This window comes from Homo sapiens, chromosome 2 (assembly GCF_000001405.40).
Source record: "Homo sapiens chromosome 2, GRCh38.p14 Primary Assembly".
NCBI classification, from domain to species: Eukaryota; Metazoa; Chordata; class Mammalia; order Primates; family Hominidae; genus Homo; species Homo sapiens.
Genome location: NC_000002.12, coordinates 233,028,462 through 233,049,594, shown reverse-complemented (window position 1 = coordinate 233,049,594; position 21,133 = coordinate 233,028,462). Strand labels below are relative to the sequence as shown.

Genomic DNA, 21,133 nt, shown 5'->3' with positions numbered 1-21,133 from the left:
TTTGCAATCCAGACTGCAAAGAACTGTGCAGGTTCACCCTAAAGCCTCCCGTTCATCCCGTGACTCCCCTGCTGAGTGATTCCAACAGCTGCTTACTGCCTGTAGGACAAAGTGTGAAATCCTTGACAGTACTTACAAGACTGGAATCTGACCATTTCCTGACTTTTTCTTATTTCCATTCCACCCCTGAGAACTTGGCAGGAGTCCTTACTCCATACCTGGATCCAGCACCTCCTGCCAACTCTACCCATTGTAGCTGCAGCCCAGGGAGTGCCAGCAACTCAAACCTTAGCCTCCCAATCACACTCCAGCCCTCGGGCTGTGATTGCTTCCCCTTTCATCTCTGGCCAGCCCCAAGCCCTGCCCTGACCACCTCCTGTTCCCTCCTCTCCATCACACACATCTGCACAACCTTTGTCCTCCCCATGCCCCTCAACTCCCTCACAGCTCCTTCTTCTCCCGCCACACCCAGCCAAAGGGGCTGCTGGTGTGGCCAGAGAAATGCCTCTGCCAGGCAGCGCAGCCCAGGACAAAACCCGGCTTCCCACTAGCATGGAGACCAGAGCCTTCCAGCCTCTCCCCTGCCTTCTCCGTTGGCTGCGGCACCAAAGCCTGCATTTTTCCAGTGGACCCCGCTTCCCTACCTCACCTCCCCACGCTCCTCAGGCTAGCTCACTTCCAGAAGCCACCAAACATTAAAGCCCCTCACTATTCTGCCCACAGATGCTAGATGGGTCTCCCAGGCTGCTTTCCAATGCGTCCACACCCGCCTCCATCCCATTGTCCCCAGGGGCTCCTCCAGATTCTCCCCTCCTGTGGCTGGGATTGGCTCCCACAGCCACCCCCACACCTCTGGATTTTCTCCCTCTCCTCCCCACCCACTCCTTCCCCTCATCCTATAAGCGAGCTTAAGATTTTTCCATGTTATAAAATAAAAACTTAAAAAATCCTCCCTGACAAAGGTTCTCAGTCTTGGCTGAAAGTCTGAAAGGCCCCACCCCAGACCAATTAAATAAAAATCTCTAAGGTGGGGCCAGGACCTCCCCAGAAGAGTGCCTTGGGTGGCCAAGACTGAGAGCCACAGCTCCCTGCCCTTTCTTCTTGTCTGGGTATCACCTGGGTGATTTTGGAATAAATTGGGGAGCTTTTGGAATAAATTGTCCTCACTCAGCCTCCTACAGCAGCCTTGTCCCCACCCCCAACCCTCCCACCAAAACCTTTTGCAGCAGCTTCTTTCTCCCAGCACCCCATCATCATCATGACCCCTCTACAGTGAGCAACCCTGCAGGCCTCTCCCTCCCTCTCAAAATCCTTCCTGTTGCTCCCCCAAGTTCTACACCTTCCTCCCTGAGCCCCCTTCTTCCCAGGCTTTTGTCCTTGGTCATCCCTTTTGTCTCCTCCATACTCTCCCAGAGCATTTTCCTCACTTGTGGCTTCCAAATCTGTATTTCCGGTCCTGACCTCCTTCAGATCCACACTTCCTGCTGCCTGTGAGGACACCCTATAGACACTTAAAAGCTCTGTCATCTGAATTTTCTATCTTTACACCGAAAACCTGTTCTTCCACACACATCGCCTATCTAGATTGCTGTCACCAAACTGGCTTCTCCCAAGCCAGAAACCACCAACATCTTCATCTCTGCCCCCTCTCTCACCACCCACATCTGATGGATCATCGAGTTCTGGAGCTCCTTGGAATCCATTCCCTTGGCGGCAGCCCCACAGTCCCAGCCTTCTTTGTTGCCTGGACTATTTCGAGAGGGCCTTTGCTAGCCCATCCTCCTCCCGCCTCCTCCTCCAGGACACCCCACTCGCATCTCTGACTCTGTCCCTGCATGCCTACCAGGTATCTCTTTCTAAAATGCAAATCTGAGCCTGCCACTTCTTTAGGTTACATCGCCTGTGGTGTCCCCCGCCCTAGGATGAAATGCAAGCTCCGTGGCAGGTCACACCAAGCTCTTCCAGCCCCACATCTCATTTGCCTTTCCTGGTCTCCTCCTCCCTCTCCCACACTCACTCTGGGCTCCAGTATTACTGAATTGGCACCTTACATATGTCTACTCATTCATTGATTCAACAGATATTGACTAAGAATCTACCATGAATCCAGACCCTGTCCTGGACCCCAGAGATGCAGGAGGGAACAAAACCCCCTGCCCTCCTGGAGCTTATACTCTATGTTGGGTCTTCTTGCCCCGCACTGAGATTCTTGTCCAGGGTTTAACTCCTCCCCAGCCAGAGCTCGCCTCAGTTCTCTGTGGCCAGACGGGGAAAAGGACAGACTCTAGAGCCTGATCTCCTGGCCTGGTCACTTACCAGCTTGTAAGATCATGGGCAAGTGGCTTAATCTTTCTCTGCCTCAGCCTCTTTCTTTGTGAAATGAGGGTGATAATAGTAACCTGACTTAACAGGTTGTTGTAAGGATTCAATAATAAGGATTCAACACTTGTAAATGGCTTAGACCAATGCCTGGCACATAGGTAGCTCTCAGTAAACATTCTTTTTTTTTTTTTTTCTTTTTTTTGAGACAAGGTCTCACTCTTTCACCCAAGCTAGAGTGCAGTGGTATGATCACAGCTCAATGCAGCCTTGCTCTGGGGATCAAGTGATCTTCCCAGTTCAGCCTCCGAAGTAGCTAGGACTACAGGCAGATGCCACCATGCCTGACTAATTTTTTAATTTTTTGTAGAGATGGTGCCTCACCATGTTGCTTAGGCTGGCCTCAAACTCTTGGGTTCAAGCAATCCTCCTGCCTTAGCCTCTGAAAGTGTTGCAATTACAGGCGTGAACCACTATGCCCACCCAACGTTCACTTTTGTCTTATTTCCTTAGCACAGTACATAACACATAACGGATACTCAATACATGTGTTCTGATTGGAATAATGAAGAAAAAAAGCATAAGTAGTTAGTGCATTAGAAGTTAGTCATTGAAAACCAAATGGCTCTGATATTATAAGACTGCACTTGGAATGTCACTTAAAGATCTAGAAAGAAAGAAAATGCTCCACATGTGGAAGAAACATGGCTCAGACAACAACCACTATCTGGACATCTCCTGACCTAGAGCCTCCTTGGACAGCCTGTCTGTCCTCCTCCTTGGAGGGCCTGACTGTTCAACCAGTGCCTTTTGGGGTGTGAAGGAAAAGGAAAGGAAGTGACAGTCATCGGGATCTTTCACTGGGACCCTTGAGCTTCTGGTCCAGGGAGTTAGTGGGGAAGGCCCTGCCGAGGCTGGTACCATCCTGACCAGGACTGTGGGACTTTGAGCAAGCCACCCAGCCTCCCCAGTCCTCTGTTTCAATGCTTGTCAAATGAACGAAGCTAGGCCAGGTAACACCCAGGGCCCTCTGACCTCTGTGATTCTAGAACTTTTTTTGTGTGTGTGTCCACCTCTGGTCTTATATCTAGATTATAAACAACATCAGGGAGAAAGCAGGGACCATAACTTGTGAATTGAAGAACAAATGCATTATTTAGTCAATTTTTCTGGGAGCTCAGTTGTTTAAAAGTATAAAAGAGGAAAGCCATTTCAGGGCATTTCAAATTATAATTGAGCGTTTTTCTTTACACTGGCAAGCGCCCATTTCAAGAGATATCAAATATTCATCTTTGACGCGATCATTCCTTTTAGAGGATTCAATTGACAGAAATAATCACAGATAAGGGCCAAGACTTACCCACAGAGATGTTCATCTCAGTGTTATTTATAACAAAGAATATAGGAGTAACTTCTGTTTCTAATACTAAAGGAATGCATAAGTAATTCACAGCATGTCTCTTTGACGTATTATCTTTTGCTAGAGAATAACTTGGAGGAAATGCTTGTGATATAATGTCAAGTTGGGGGATCAAAAGCATGATCCTAGATCAATTTTGCAGCAGGTTCATCTGCAAAATGGAGTAAAAAAAATGTGCAGCATGATCTCAGTTTTGAAGAAAAAGGAAAATTCACAGATAAGACCAGAAGAAAATGTGCCTCTGGTTAGTAAAATTATGGGTGATTTTCCCTCCCTAGTTCTTTGTACTTCCAAATGTTTGGCATCTATTACTTTGAAGCCCTCTTCTAAAAACAGTACAAAAATGGAACTTGAAAAAGCAATACCTTGCCAAAAGTACAGTCAGCTTTCTCACCTCTTCTCCGAGCAGCACATTTAAATACTGGATTCCTTCCTTTCTTCTTCACTTGCTGGGCATGAGATGTGGATGGCAGTGTGGCCCCAGCACTGACTCCTCACGATGCAGACACGGGGGCCTTTGAGACTGAGCTCTTCAGCAATTCCCGGCTTGGTGCAAATCGCTCCCTCCTAGGCTGTCAACAAGGGAGGATGAAGCCTGTATCTCAGCTCTTGACATCCTTTCAGTTCAGACACCTCAGGCTGGCAAGTCCACAGGCCAGAGCTGGCAGCCTGAGCTCCCTTCTCCCCCTCGAATCTGATGAGGAGATGAGGGAAGGGCAGGGAAGGCGGCACAGTGCCCAGTGGTTCAGGTCACAGGCTCCAGAGACAGGCTGAGCAGGGTTCCACATCCCAGAACCTGGAAACCCTTTGTACTTCTTGGATGTTCAGACAGAGACGAAGGAGGTGCCCAGAACAGTTGCGGGAATGTTCCTCTGAGATCAGAAAAGCAGTTGCCTCCTAGGCCTGCCTCTAATCAGCTGTGTGGTTTGGAGGACATCACTGTACGGGACCCCTTTCCATTCCTGCCAAATGAGTAGGTCAGACTTAACAGACTTCAAGATCACATCCATCTCTGTAAGGCTAATGTTTCATGTCTTGCTACTGCCACCTGCGGCCTTAGCTCTAAGAATCGACAAGGTTGTTAGTCTTCGTGCAGCCATGTTGAAGCCAGTTAATCTCAGCTGTGCAGACAGCGGGTCTCTCCTGGGCAGGGCAGATTCTCCCATCAGCACCGCTGGGTTTAAGAGACCACCGTGCCTGCTCTCCCCACAGAGCAGGCTCTGAGCCTTCCATGGCAACCACCCTGGAGCTGCTCCAAGGCCCCTCTTTCCTTTCCCAAGCCACACATGCTTTTAGCAGGGGCCTTATGGACTTCAGGTTCCTGCCACCATCACCTCCCACCCCAGGTATCTGATGCAGAGGAGGGTCTCTCCTGGTGGGAATTGCAGACCATTTCTGGGAGGTGACAGGTACCAGGGTTAGGCCAGGAGGATCTGCTCAGGAGGCAGGGCCTTTCATGGAATGATTTGACAAGAAGGGCTGGCCCCTCTGGGAGAAGAAGACAGGAGCAGAAACTCGGCATGTGTGTGCTGTATTTGTGGTGTGTGTCTACATATGTGTGCATGTGTGTGCATGTGTGTCTACATATGTGTGCATGTGTGTGGCTTTGGCATGATTAAAATTTTTGAAGTAGGAGGCAGAATTTGACATGGTTGTATGAGCCTCGCCAACAGACGACTCTTATAGCTTTTAAATTTACTGTCTTGACAAATTTCAGGCAGTTTTCACTGTCGGGAGACAGTTGGCCCAGTGGCTGACTTCATGTCCTTTGGTCTCCATGCACCTGGCACACATGCTTGCTATAGGAACGAACCAGGCAGTGGGCTGGCCAAGGGCAGAGCGGGTGGCCCTGAGATGGGAGGCCCAGAAGGCTGCCAAAGTTCATCGTGTAGCTTCATGACTTTGGAATCATTTCAAAATCCATTGGCAGCCTTTCTATTAGGTTATGTCCCTTAGAAATGTTTACACTGAGGCAAGAGAATTACTTGAACCTGGGGAGCGGAGGTTGCAGTGAGCCGAGATCGCGCCACTGCACTCTAGCCTGTGCTAGACATGCAAGACGTCTAGCCTGTGCTAGACGTGCTAGACTCTAGTCTGTGCTAGACTCTAGTCTGTGCTAGACGTGCAAGACTGTGCTAGATGGAGCAAGACTCCGTCTTAAAAAAAAAATGTCTTTTTACATTACAGAATGACCAAAGAGGAACAAGACTTACCTTCTAAGTGCCCACTGATGGTGTAGTTCATTGCAAGGATGTGTGACAGAGAAAGAGTGCTGGCCGAGCCGGGGCCTGGGATAGACCACAACTAATTGGTCCATGGGGACAGGGAGACAGGGCAGTGAAGAAGAGATCCACGGAAATGAGTGGGCTACAAACCCACTGGCACCAAGGGAAGGTTCACGGAGACCCATGGACTGTTTTTCCAGGCCTAAAGAATATTTTCTTTGAATCGTTTAGTCCAAGTTAGAAGGGCATGCCTAGCCGCTCATCCTCTCTGCTCCATCAACAGGAGCTGTGGGCAGAGAGAAAAGCCTGTGCAAGAAGGAGCTCTGCCAACCTCACTCCCAGCCGAGATCATCAACCACCCTCATCTGGGGTCCCAGTTTCCAAGGCCGAAATTCCATCAGCAGCTACCGGTATAAGTGAGACCACCAGAGTAGTCAGGGTGGTCTTGGGGAACTGGGAGGAGCTTCCTACATCTTGAACAAAGTAGTGGGTAGGTTTAGCTCTACTCCAGGGTTTCTCAAGTCTGCAAACTTTTGCAGCATCAGAATCATCTAGGGGCTTGTTTAAACACAGATCGCTGGGCCCCCAGCCTCAGGGTTTCAGATTCGGTAGGTCTGTAGAATTTGATAGGACTCCAGAATTTGCATTTTTTGACAGGTGCAATAGCATGAGCCTGTTGTCCCAACTACTTGGGAGGCTGAGATGGGAGGATTGCTTGAGTCCAGGTGTTCAAGGATAGCCTGGGCAACATAGCAAAATGATGTACATAAAAAAAAAATTGCATCTCTCACAACTTCCCAGAAGTTGAAGGCAGAAACCCACAGAGCGGGCTCCGAGTTCAGTGAAAAGCAGGAGGCTGAAGTCCCTGGGTCGGGCAGCTGGCTGGACCTGGTCAGGTCCCGGTGTCCCTGACTATGGCTCCTTGAGGGGAACAATCAGGCTGTGTTAGCTCTCTTTGCCGAGGCCTCTGCTAAATGTCACCTCCCCAGGAGGCTGTCCTCGAGCAGCCCCACTTACTCCTGACCACATCGTTCCCTGGACATTCTCTTTATCGCTCATCAGTACAGACGTTGCATTTCCTACTTAGTTGTTTATTGTCCACCCTATCCCATAACATGAATTTCTTGAGGGCAGTGGCTCTGTCCTGTCACCATTGAATCCCACCTCCTAGAATGACATCCGGCCCGTTGCTGATGCTCAGTCTGCATGCGTTGTATAACAGGGAATTTCCCATCCTTTGGAGGCAAACTGAACTCTTGGTGCTCCTAGCAGGTGATACAGAAAAGGTGGCCTTGGCTATGTCACTGACCCTAGTCAGTTCCCCAGGTCCTCAATGGATTCGTTTTGCAAAGTCTCAGCAATAGGTGTGGCAACAGGCAAGAACACAGCCTGTCGCTCCCAGCACCTCCCAGTCATTTCCCATGAGCCATCAGATGCCTGGAACCAAGAAAAAGAGGAAATGAGTGGAGACGTGGTGGAAATGATGATGCTTTTCCTGGGGGTCCCTAATGGTGACAAGAGCTCAGTTCCTCAGCACTGATAGTGCTCTGACCTCTGGTGTCTGGATAGCAGGCATCTGGCTCCCAATGTCTCTCTCTTTGGGGATGTCCCTGGTCCTCAGGAAGCCCACCCCAACTGGGGGCTCTGAGACTCTAGAGACGTCCATAGGGTGCAGGCAGGGCTCCACGGGTGCTTCTATAGGGCCAGTTATTGGAAGGCTGGCCACTATTTGACCATGAATGGAAGGACCCAGATGGCACTGAAGATTGTTTTTTTGTTGTTTTTTTTAAATTTTGAGACGGAGCTTCACTCTTGTTGCCCAGGCTGAAGTGTAATCACGAGAGCGTGATCTCGGCTCACTGCAACCTCCGACTCCCAGGTTCAAGTGATTCACCTGCCTCAGCCTCCCGGGTAGCTGGGATTACATGTGCCTGCCACAACATCTGGCTAATTTTTTGTATTTTTAGTAGAGACTGGATTTCACCATGTCGGCCAGGCTGGTCTCAAACTCTTGACCTCAGGAGATCCACCCACCTCGGCCTCCCAAAGTGCTGGGATTACAGGCGTGAGCCACCGCGACCGCCCGGCACTGAGGATTCTTAAGACACCAAGGAGCTCAGCCTTGTGTTCAGTAGACTATGAAGGGCCTGGGTATTTACCCTCCTGCCCACAGTAGTAATTCTTGGGAAATGGCCCATGTCCCTGTGGGGCAGCTGGCGGGACTGTAAGGTTGTCATGGTAACACAGCCTTTCCATCCTCTCTAGAGAGCAGGTCTGTCCTTCCCCTGGGGATTTGGAGAGATGCAATCCTCTCAGACATGGAAGGTCTGGATTCCCTGGGTGGGATGGATGATTTTGCAGTCGGGGGAAAGGCCGTGACAACAGGGGTGGCCCAGCTTACGGATGCCAGTGTTCCTCTGTCATTTACCTTGAGCCATCAGATGTTGGGATTGACCAAAGAGAGGACTTAAAGAAGGATATGACAAACGTGGCCTCTTTTCCATCTTCCTTTTCCTTCATGTATTCCCCCTAGTCCATCCAGAAGGATCTGTGGTATTTTGGGCCACTGTGACCCTCGGGAATCCTGGGATGTATTGGCAGGGCCAGAGCTGACCACAGTATCACTGCCTTCTTCACTCACCTCCTCAGCACACACTTCTCAGGTGCGCATGCAAGAATAGCAAGAAGAGCCAGGCTGTATTCATTTTCTGCTGCCACTATAAAAAATGGCCACAAACGTGGTGACTTAAAACTACATACATTTGTTCTCTACAGTCCTAAAGGGCAGAAGTCCTGAGTCTGTTTCACTGGGCTAAAGTCAAGGTGTCTGCAGGGCCGCATTCCCACAGAAGCACCAAGGGAAACTTCCTTGCCTTCTCTGGCTCTAGAGCTGCATTCCCCGGCTAGTGGCCCCTCCCTCCATCTGCAAAGCCCAAAGCCAAGGATCTCACTTCAGTGCTCACAAGGCCTTCTTCTGTATTGAATCTCTCTCTGCTTCCTTCTTACAAAGACCCTTTGATTACATTTATGTCCCACCTGGATAATCCAGAATAATCTCACCATCTCAAGAGTAAGTGAATCATATCTGCAAAATTCCTTTTGCTATATAAAGTAACATCCAGAGTTTCTAGGGATTAGGATGTGGACATCTTTGTGGGCAGCGGGGGCCATTATTCAGCCAGCCACACAGGCCTTGTCAGGACCTTGGCTCTCTTCCCCATTGACAGGTATGCCAACTGCCATGCCCCCTCCCCAGCCTTGGAATCCCTTCCCCAGTGGCTTCCCAGGGCTGGTCTCTCAGGCACCAGAAGTCCAGGTCCCTCCCACTGTCCCAGCCCGGCCACGAAACAAACCTGGAGAGGCACCTGTGACCCGCCCGGCCAGGAAGGCCATAGGGCCATAGAAGGTGAGATGAAAGATGGAGTCTAAAGGGGATGGCTGCACCAGGGCAGCTGCTCAGAGGTGAGGTGAACAGTAGCAGCCCTGCCTCAGATATCTACAAGAACCAGGGCCATGTGGGCTCCCCACACCTGGAGCTCCAGTTCTTCCTGGTCTGTGTTGAGGGGAGTGTGTGGATGAGGCCCGGGCTCCACTAATCCCTGCTGTGTCTGCACCCCGGTTGTGGGGTTGCCAGGTGGAACGTTGAACAAGGCTGGTCCACCAACCCCAAAGTTGGACTGGATGATGGACATCCAGTGTACATGCACGTGTGTACACACACACCCCTACACCCCAACACCCAGATGTCCCAGGCAGTGGCGTTGGGCTCAAAGTTGACCAGAGTAGTCCCGGACAAGGTGCCACAGCCTGGACGTGGAGCTCTGTGTAGCAGATTTGAAGGCCACCTTCCTGGGCTCCAGAGACTGAACTACTTCTTCTGTCATTTACACATCGGCAGTCTGAGGCTGAAGCACACACCTTTGTGGTTGCTTATTTATTTGTTTAGAGGTGGTTTTTAAGGGAAGGTCCCGGGAAGGGAGGACCTTCTGGAACTGTGTGTATCAATCTGTGTATGTGTGTGTCTCTAAGGATACAAATTTATTATAGTAAAAATTCTGTTTTACTAAATGTATCCTGGATTGGATCCTAGAACAGGGGGAAGAAAAGGACATTAGTGGAAAAACTGGTGAAATCAGAATAAAGTCTAGAGTTTAGTAAATAACCATGTACCAATGTTAATCTCTTCGTTTTAACAAATGTACCACAGTTATGTAAGATGTCAACGTCAGGGGAAACTGGGTGTGGAGTATACAGGAACGTTCTGTACTATCTTTGCAACTTCTATGTAAATCTAAAATTGTTCTGAAATAAAGCATTTATTTAAAAATTCAGTTTCAGCAGGGCATGGTGGCTCATACCTGTAATTGCAGCACTTTGGGAGGCTGAGGGAGGAGAATGACTTGAGCTCGGGAGTTTGAGGCTAGCCTGGGCTGCATAGTAAGACCCCATCTCTACAATTTTTTTTTTTAAATTAGTGAGGCATGGTGGTACGTGCTTGTAGTCCCAGCTACTTGGGAGGCTGAGGCGAGATCGTTTGAGCCCAGTAGGGGGAGGCTTCAGTGAGCTGTGATTGTGCCACTGCACTCCAACCTAGGCAACAGAGCAAGACCTGGTCTCCAAAAAAAAAAAAAAAAAAAAAAAAAAAGGCCAGGCGCAGTGGCTCATGCCTATAATCCCAGCACTTTGGGAGGTCAAGGCGAGTGGGTCACCTGAGGTCAGGAGTTCGAGACCAGCCTGGCCAACATGGTGAAACCCCGTCTCCACTAAAAATACAAAAATTAGTCAGGTGGTGCACAACTGTAATCCTAGCTACTTGGGAGACTCAGGTAGCAGAATTGCTAGAACTGCCTCCAGGAGGCGGAGGTTACAGTGAGACGAGATCGTGCCAGAGTCAGACTCCATCTCAAAAAAAAAAAAAAATCAATTTTAAACCCAATATTGAAATTCAGTTGAAACCCAATTTCAGTTTTAAAACCCAACATACAATATTGCTTTGGGAGTTAATCTAGCAAATCTGCTCTTTTGTTCAATTTTTATTTTTTATTGAGGTGTAACATATATGCAGTAGGGCACACAAATCTTTTGTTTTGTTTTGTTTTGCTTTGTTTTTGTTTTTAGACAGAGTCTCGCTCTGTTGCCCAGGCTGGAGTGCAATGGCGCGATCTCGGCTCACTGCAATCTCTGCCTGCTGGGTTCAAGTGATTCTCCTGCCTCAGCCTCCTGACTAGCTGGGATTACAGGCGCACGCTACCAGGCCTGGCTAATTTTTGTATTTTTAGTAGAGACAGGGTTTCACCATGTTGGTCAGGCTGGTCTCAAACTCCTGACCTCGTGATCCACCTACCTCGGCCTCCCAAAGTGCTGGGATTACAGGTGTAAGCCACCGAGCCCGGCGGCACACAAATCTTTTGTGTATAGCACATCAAATTTTTACACACGAAATCATCCACATAACCAGCCCCAGATCAAGCAATAGAACACCCAGCAGCCTCCCTCTTGCTGTGTCCCAGTCAACAGCTCCCCTCCACCAGGAGCAGCCACTATCCTGACTGATAGACCATAGTTTAGTTTTGTCTGTCCTTGAACTTCATATAAATAGAATAATAAGGTGTGTACTCATTCGAGTCTGATATCCTTCACTCGTCATGATGTCTGAAAACCATCCATGCTAGTGTGGAGAGCAGTAGTCCACTCTTTCACTGTTGTGTATTATAATATTCCACTTCATGAATATGCCCTTCTTTTTTTTCCTTTTTTTTTTTTTTTTTTTTTTTTTGAGACGGAATTTCACTCTTGTTGCCCAGGCTGGAGTGCAATGGCGCAATCTCAGCTCACTGCAAACTCCACCTCCCAGGTTCAAGCAATTCTCCTGCCTCAGCCTCCCTAGTGGCTGGGATTACAGGCACCTGCCACCACGCCTGGCTAATTTTTTGTATTTTTTAGTAGAGGTGGGGTTTCACCATGTTGGCCAGGCTGGTCTCGAACTCCTGACCTCAGGTGATCCACCGGCCTCAGCCTCCCAAATTGCTGGGATTACAGGCGTGAGCCACCAAGCCCAGCCCCTAATTTACTTATTTATTTTACTTTCTATTGACATTTGGGTTGTTTCCAGTTTAGGACTCTTGTGAATGAAGCTGCTGTAAACAATCTTCTATGTGTCTTCGGCAGCTATGAACATTCATTTCTCTTGGATATGTGCTCCAGAGTAGAACTGCTGGGTCATGGAGTATTTACATGTTTTGTTTTGGTGGATTCCACCAAATCGCTTGCCAAAGTGGTTGTGTCAGTTACTTTCTGCCAGAAAGATACTAGAGTTCCAGTGGCTCCACATCCTTGTTGATATTTGCTGTTGTTAATCTTTTAAATGTGGGCATTCTAGGAGATAAGTCTCTCACAGTTTTATTTTGCATTCCTCTGATGACTAATGATGTTGAGCAATTTAGGAGCCTTTAGAATATTCTCCTTTGTGAAGTGCAAGAGGATATATCCACATCCCAGAATCTGTGAATGGGACTTTATTTGGAAGAAGTGTCTTTGCAAATGTAATTAAGTTCAGGATCTTGGGAAATAAGATCCTCCTGGGCCGGGTGCAGTGGTTCATGCTTGTAATCCCTGCACTTTGGGAGGCCGAGGCCAGTGGATCACTTGAGGCCAGAAGTTCGACACCAGCCTGGCCAACATGGTGAAACCCTGTCTCTACTAAAAACACAAAAATTAGCTGGGCATCATGGTGCATGCCTGTAATCCCAGCTACTTGGGAGGCTGAAGCGGGAAAATCGCTTGAACCCGAGAGGCAAAGGTTGCAGTGAGTTGAGATGGTGACACTGCACTCTAGTCTGGGCAACAGAGCAAGACTCTGTCTCAAAAAAAAAAAATCACCCCGAATTATGTGAGTGGGCCCTAAATCCAGTCAGTGACAAGTGTCCTTATAAACATAGAAGAGAAGACACAGGAGGAGGAGGAGATGTGGCCACGTGAGGATCGAGGCAGGGACTGGAGTGATGCGATCACAAGGCAAGGACCAGCGAGCGTTGCTGGGAGCCGGCAGAAGCTGGAAGAAGCAGGGAAGGCCCCCCTCACCAGGGTCTCCAGAGGGCACAGAGCCTCTCAGACATGTTGATTTCAGGCTTCTGGCCTCCAGAAAGAACGGTGAGAGAACAAATTTCTGCTGCTTTAAGCCACCAAGATTAAGGTACTTTGTTCTAGCAGCCTTAAGACGCTAATACAATGACTTAAGCTCGCTTAATTTTCCCAGACCATGCCTTACTTCCTGCAAAGCTATTCTCCATGCTGTCTGCCCCAAAGCATTGGCAAGGACACATACACAAATACACACACATGAACAAACATGCACACAGACACACAGACACACGAACACACAGGCACACACAGACGCACATGGACACACACAAACATATGCACATGCAGACACACATGGACACACATGAACACACATGCACACACAGACACACACATAAAAACACGCCCATGCAGACACACATGGACACACAAGCACACACAGACACACACACAAAAATACATGCACATGCAGACACACATGGACACACATGCACACACATCCACACACAGTCACACATAGACACACGAACACACATGCACACACAGACACAAACACATACACACACAGACTCACACTGACATACATGAACACACATGCACGCAGACACATGGGCACACACAAACACATGGACGCACATGAACACACATGCACATGCATATACGCACTCGAACACAGATGAACACACATGCGCACACAAGCACACATGGACACACTTGAACATGCATGCATATTTATGCACACACTAGCACACATGAACGCACATGCACGTGCAGACACACGTGGACATGAACGAACACACATGAACACACATGCGAACACACAGGCACACATGGACACACACGAACACACATGCACACGCAGGCTCACACGAACACACATAAACACACATGCAAACACACATGCACACATGGCACACCCGAACACACATGAACACACATGCACACGCAGACACACGGACACACATGAACACGCACAAACACGTATGCATGGACACACACGAACACACATGCACACAGAGACACATATAGACACACACGAACACACGTGCACATGCAGACACACACAGATACACACACATCTCTGCTAATTTACACCATGGTCTTCCATCTCAGTTCTTCCCCAGGAACATAAGGAATGGTTCCCAAGAAGGAAGGAGTTGAACTAGAAATTTGTCAAGACCTACACAAAGCTGGGGGTAGGGGACAGGCAGACAAGGTGACAGCTGCGCTGCAGGACCCTCCACGCCTTCCCTATGGAGGGGCTATGGGAAGCCAGACACTTTTGGTTTCTGGGCTGAAAATAGAACCTTTTGGGAAGACTGGAACCACGCAGGAGGAAAAGAGCAAGAGGTGCACCTCTCTCCACACACGGGCGCCGAAGGGAGCCCAGAGTGGCCCCCACGTCCAGGGGCCACGGGAAGGAGAGGCAGCCGCAGAGCCTCCGAGCTGGGTGTGCAGGTGAAAGGCAGGCCCTTGAGGTGGGCACCACAGGCTCACTGAGGCAGGTACTCAGCTGGGAAGGCTTGCTTCAGGGTGAACATGAGAAAGACAATCTCCTCGTAATCATTGGCTTCGTACAGACACCCAAACAAGGGGGACCCATCAGGGCCGGTGCCCATGCTCTGGAGGTCTGAGTAGGCACAGCTGCCCTTGGCCAGCAGTACCGGCTCTGACCAGGCCTCAGGGGCTGGAGGTCGCGGGTTGAGGTAGGCACCCAGGTCGGCCCTCTGCCAGGAGTGTGTGGGGTGAGTGTAGAGCAGCCACTGGGCTGGGGAGCCAGGCCCCGAGCGGGGGCTGGGGAAGCTGATGACGCTCCCCTGGCAGCCCTGGGGCGGCGGCTCCACCAGCTTCTTCACCAGCTGAGACTCCTGGAAATCAAGCCCGTCATTGGTGCTCTGGGCCTGGACCCTGGCTCGGAGGTGGCTTCTCGCGTTGAGGGTCACCACCCTCTGCTCCCCAGTCTCGACTTCGGCCACCTGGCACTCCAGGGTGTCCTGGGCCACAAAGTGCCCTCGCGCCCACGTGCGCCCATGGTCATGGCTGAGGAAGCAGAAGGCAGAGGGGATCGGCCTTTGGATGGGGTGAAGTTTCCGGTAGGCGTAGGCGGGCACCACCAGGCTCCGGGCCCTGTCGTGAAGCTGCAAACAATGCCCCGGGCCCACTGCAAAGGTGGACCACTCCCGGTAGGCTGGGCCGATGGCCGCATCAGTGAGGTCTCTGGGGGAGCTCCAGGTCCTCCCGTGGTCAGTGCTGGTGACTTGGCACAGCCGCGTCACATTGGCCCTGGTCTGCAGCTGCTGTTGCTCCGTGACTTGCCCAGGGATGGCAATGAAGAAGAGGAAGAGGGTCCCCGTCTGCGCGTCATACAAGGGGCATGGGTTCATGGACCGGTGGCCATCCAGCCGGGCCTGGGCCACCACCTCCTGAGCTTGCCACTGAGTAGGGAGAGAGAAAGAAGAAGGCAGCCTTGAAACAGCTGGGGATGGTGCCAGGAGCTGCATGAGTGGGAGGGGTGGGCACGGGTGTGTCTCCCGGGTTAGAGTCAAAAGTCATCGAGAAGAACTCTTCACCCAACACTCATATCCTCCTTGCAACGTTTCCCCAGAGCTGCGGGGCCCAGGGTGCCACCTCACCCCTCCAAGGCAGCCACACTCGGCTGAGTGATTCTGTTCCTTCCATTGCCATCAATATGCATTTACAGAACACCCACCTGCCAGACCACAAGATATGAAGATGACTCGTGCATGAGCCATTCCCAACTTCATCCTGGTTCCTCCACTTCCCACCCCAGTCCAGCTCACCATCCTTGAATAGCAAAGCCCTGGCGGAAGGTGCAATAACCTGACCAGTACAAGACAGAATGTGACGGTCACCTCTCACCTTCTACACTCCATATCCTACTCATGTAGCCAAGGAGGAGTCACATTGAGCTTCCAGAATCCCCAAGTCTATGTCACATGTGCTGTCTGTCCCCATTTATTAACAGCTACCCCCATTGGGCAATTCTAAGCACAGACACAGCACCAAAAGTCTAACATCCATGGTCTCATCTAATGCCTCAATCCCCAGGGAACAGGTGTTAGTAGCTCCATTATTACAGTGAGCAAGAGACCGCGACAGGGAGGAGGAGTTGCCTAGGCCACATCTGTGGTCAGTGGCGGAACCAGGACTTGAACCCAGGTCCATCTGCTTCAAATCCCATGCTTTGAACAGCTGTGTAGTAATGACCACAAAGGAATGATAATAATATTAAACTCTTCAAATATGATCAGCCAGCCTTGGGTGCTGTCATCAGGATTAATTATTTAATCTATAAAATGGGACTTTAGGACACAAGCCATCACCCCACCCCAAGTCCCCAAGTTAATTTTACTCAAAGGACACAACCCTCCATTATGCAACACTGAACTATTCCTCCGTGAGGTCATCACGGATGCTGGGCAACTCATTCAATCTTTCATGAAAACAGATGGAGGCCAGCTGGACTAATTCACAGTGAACCCAGAGGTCCAGGGAACCATTAGGGGCACTTTCTCTGCTCTATCTCTCCTCCGGAGTACAGCCATTGAGGGATAAAGTTGTCCCTGTATTTCTTGAGATCCAGGACTGGCCCCTGATCACAGCAGCAAAGGGTGTGGCAGAGCCCTGGGGAGCCAGTGCAGACACCTCCTGCCTCACCTGAACCTGGTGGGTGGGTGCGTCGTAGTCTCCTCTGCGCAGGACAATCAGCTCTGCGTGCTCATCCTTCTTGCTTGCCCGCTGTTCCGCGAAGGCCAGCAGGGACTGCTGCCCAGGCAGGTAGAGCAGGGCAGGGATTCTGTAGGCATGGGCTCCCGACTGGAACACGCTCTCCTTCTGCAGGACAGGAAGGGACGCCATGGGGCTGGGGGGTGGACAGGAAGAGAAGATGTGTCACCTGCAGCCACACCTGAGATGGGCTCAGAGTCATTCACCAAGACAGGTGGTGCTCACCCCCTGGCTGAGTGGACCAAAGTCAGGGCGGCCTGTCCTCTTCCCGCGTGGGGTTCATTCTCCTTTCCTACATCTCAAGACCCTGCTTCTTAATTCTGCCTTTGCCTCGGTGGATATCGGGAGGGGGTATTGCAAAAGCGTGTTTTGGATTCGATTTTTATTCTAAGTTAACAATGCTCCTTACAACAGATTTTCGATAACCTCCAGCTGCTTTTGCCAAACCCAGCCCATCAATCCAGGGGCAAACCTCGGGAGGACAGCAGTGCAGGCCGGGTGGCATTCGGCAGCTGCCCAAATGCCAGAAAGTGACACATGGGAGCTTTTTATAACTCCAGAGCCCTAGAAAGTTGTTTCAAAGAAAAGGAAAAAGAAAAAGCATGGCTTCTAAGGCTCTGCTCCCCAGGCTGCCTGAGGCTGAGGCCCGTCTGCCCCCGCTGCTGCGTGGGCTCCCCCTGAGGCAGCGAGGGGGCGGCGCTGCAGTGGGAAAGGAAGAGACAGGGGCTCCTGACAGCTAACCCAGGCTGGGGGCGTGGGGTGCTCCAGAGGTCTAAGAAAATAACAATTAAAAATAAGTCTTCAGCTAAAAAGGGTAGGGAGGGGACAGAGGTAACTTGGGGACAGTGGGTGACAGTGATTTTCGGGCTAAGCTGCCTAGGTCCCTTTAGGAGGATGCATCCCGCAGCTCTGGGGAGTGTTGGCTGCAGGGCCCTGGCCTGGGGAGGATGGGCCAGTTGTTCCCAGATGAAGAATCTGCCCCAGGTCATACCCAAGAAGGGCTGCTTGATGATTGGTCCACTCAGAGCCTGAAGACCCTCTTCCTGAACTCCTGACCAGGAACAGTGCGGCTCCGGAGCTCCCTCCGGGCGGCTGGGCCTTCCCTGAGACTGCATTACAGCCGCCTCTTTCTCTGCTGCTCCTCCCTTTCCCCCAGAGGCTCTTGCCTGCCGTGGGTCTCCGTGTCAGAGCCGGCGTCCTGGGCACCCCGTCTGAGACACAGCCTTTGCAGAGGGCAAGTGGGCAAGAGGCCAGCAAGAGGGGCAAGGTTTGCCTTTGTGCACCCTTTTGTACTGCTCTCATTTTTCTACCACATGCATGCGTTATCTATTTAAAACTTAGCTTCTTTGAGAAATAAATGTAATCTATCAGTCTTTCATTCAACCACAGTGAACGTTAATATTAGGACGATGTGAGAAAATAAAACTGAGAAGGGCAAAAGCTGCACAAGGAAAAAATGTGCTATTCCCTGAACTTCGGTGGGAGATTCATGGCTTGGTGATAGAATCACCAAATTATAATCCAAGGACACAGGCCTTGATAGGTATCGGGAGGCCTATGCTGAAACGCTGTTAGAAAATGTCAGCAGGAAAGAATCAAATATGATAACAAGTAAAAATGAAAATGGAGAACTGTGCAGTTTCACAGTGTTCTCTGGAAAATTGATCAAGGATTTATTTAAGCTCCATAGAGTGGGCTCTGGAAAGTGTCCTTGATGGAAATTCAGCAGAGTTGGTATAATTCAGTTTAAAATGTTTGTATTTAAAATGTCCTCAGGGCCAAAATTTCTGTATGGATTACAATGGCTGGCCTTCTCTACACAATGTGGGAGGAAAGGAGAGAAGAAGTTTAGCTGAGGAAATCTTTTTTTTTTTTTCTTTTTTTTTAGATGGAGTTTCGCTCTTGTTGCCCAGGCTGGAGTGCAATGGCGAGATCTCGGCTCACTGCAACCTCCGCCTCCCAGGTTCAAGTGCTTCTCCTGCCTCAAGCTCCCGATTACAGGCATGCACCACCATGCCCAGCTACTTTTGTATTTTTAGTAGAGACGGGGTTTTTCCATGTTAGTCAGGCAGGTCTCGAACTCCTGACCTCAGGTGATCCTCCCGCCTCAGCCTCCCAAAGTGCTGGGATTACAGGCATGAGCCACCACGCCCGGCCAGCTGAGGACATCTATAAAGACATTCTAGAGGGAAAACAAGACAGAGACGTCTTCGGGAGGAATCACAAGGCAAGACACACACCAGGCCTTTGGGGTTGAGTAGGGGTCCAGCCTAAGGCCTAGGAAACCGGGCTGATGGGCTCCATGAGGTGAGTGTGACCAGAACTGGTGGCTCATGCCTTAGAGAGAAGATGGGGCAAGGGAGAGAACAGAGGCTTCAGGCTAGAACTAGGGAGCAAAGCCACTGGCTGGCCCACCCTCAAGAAGAGAACCACTCTCAATGCTTACAATTGAGATATGTGACCAGGCACAGTGGCTCACGCCTGTAATCCCAGCAGTGGGAGAGGCAGAGGCAGGTGGATTGCTAGAGTCCAGAAGTTCCAGACCAGCCTGGGCAACATGGCAAAACCCCATCTCTACAAAAAATACAAACATTAGCCAGTCATGGTGACACATGTCTGTAGTTCCAGCTACTCGGGAGGCTGAGGTGGAAGGATTGCTTGAGCCTGAGAGGTGAAGGTTGCAGTCAGCTGAGATAGCACAACTGCACTCCAGCCTGGGCAACAGAGTGAGACCCTGTCTCGAAACAAAAAATAAAATAAAATAGAGATATAATTCACATATTATAAAATGTACCTTTTAGAAGTGTATGATTCAGGCTGGGTGCAGCGGCTCACGCCTGGAATCCCAGCACTTTGGGAGGCCGAGGCGGGTGGATCACCTAAGCTCAGGAGTTTGAGAAGTGTATGATTCAGTGGTTTTTTTAGTATTTTCATAAAGTTATACAGCCATCACCACTATCCAATTCCAGAATATTTTCACCACCCCAAAAGAAATCCCATACCTGTGAGCAATCACTCCCCTGTCAATGAAAACAGTCAAACTCTGTAAAATATTTGAAGAGATTTATACTATACTATACTATACTATTTATATATTTGGCTATAAAAGAGATTTATAGCCAAGTATGAGTAACAAATGGCTCGTGACACAGCCCCAGGAGATCCTATGTGCCCAACGTGGTCAGAGTACAGCTTGGTTTTATACATTTTAGGGAGACTTAAGACATAAATCAATACATGTAGGATGTACATTGGTTCCGTCTGGAAAGGCGGGACAACTTGAGGTGGGAGTAGGGAAGGCAGTTTCCAGATCATAGGTAGATTCCAAAAATTTTCTGATTGGCAGTTGGTCAAAAGAGTTTATCTAAAGACCTGGAATCAGTAGAAAGGAATGTCGGGTTAAGATGAGCGGTTAGCTGGGCGCAGTGGCTCATGCCTGTAATCCCAGCACTATGGGAGGCTGAGATAGGCGGATCACGAGGTCAGGAGATCGAGACCATCCTGGCTAAAACGGTGAAACCCCGTCTCTACTAAAAATACAAAAATTAGGTGGGTGTGGTGGTGGGCGCCTGTAGTCCCAGCTACTCGGGAGGCTGAGGCAGGAGAATGGCATGAACCCGGGAGGCGGAGCTTGCAGTGAGCCGAGATTGCGCCACTGCACTCCAGCCTGGGCGACCGAGGGAGACTCCGTCTCAAAAAAAAAAGATGAGCTGTTGTGGAGACCAAGGTCTCATCACGCAGAGGCCGCCAGGTGGCAGGCTTCAGAGCTCTTCGCAGACCTAAAAAGATGCCAGAGTCTTAGTTAATTCTCTCCTGGATCAGGAAAAGGCCTGGAAAGGGAAGGGGATTCTCTACAGAATGCAGATGTTTCCTCACAAGAGACAGCTTTGCAGGGCCATTTCAAAATAAGTCAAAGAAATACATTTGGGGGTAAAATACTTTAATTTCATTCAGGACCTGCTATCTGTCCTGATGCTATACTAGAGTTAGTTTGGAATTTGGTGTCTTATTGCTACAAAAAGTCTGTTTCATCAGCCTTAAGATCTGTTTTAGTCAGGTGCGGTGGCTCACGCCTGTAATCCCAACACTTTGGGAGGCCGAGGCAGGTGGATCATCTGAGGTCAGGAGTTCAAGACCAGACTGGACAACATGAAAGAATCCCTGTCTCTACTAAAAATACAAAAATTACTCAGGCATGGTGGCACATGCCTGTAATCCCAGCTACTTGGGAGGCTGAGGCAGGAGAATTGCTTGAACCTGGGAGGCGGAGGTTGCAGTGAGCACTCCAGCCTGGGTGATAGAGCGAGACTCCGCCTCAAAAAAAAAAAAAAAGATTTGTTTT

The 21,133-nt window shown here is 50.0% G+C and overlaps 1 protein-coding gene across 1 annotated transcript; it reads right to left on the bottom strand.

Moving 5' to 3' along the window:
* Window positions 1–14,537: 14,537 nt before the first annotated feature.
* On the bottom strand, window positions 14,538–16,923 carry NEU2 (neuraminidase 2). Its single transcript, NM_005383.2, has 2 exons — window positions 16,723–16,923; window positions 14,538–15,479 (listed from the first exon to the last, which is right to left on the bottom strand). The coding sequence occupies exons 1-2, from the start codon at window positions 16,921–16,923 to the stop codon at window positions 14,538–14,540; spliced, it is 1,143 nt and encodes a 380-aa protein (NP_005374.2).
* Window positions 16,924–21,133: the final 4,210 nt, after the last annotated feature.

Excerpts from the sequence above, each read along its gene's own strand:
- NEU2 (NM_005383.2), bottom strand. The coding sequence starts at position 16,923 with ATGGCGTCCCTTCCTGTCCTGCAGAAGGAGAGCGTGTTCCAGTCGGGA. Across the intron at positions 15,480-16,722 it reads CACCCACCCACCAGGTTCAG|TGGCAAGCTCAGGAGGTGGT; the intron begins GTGAGGCAGGAG and ends CTCCCTACTCAG.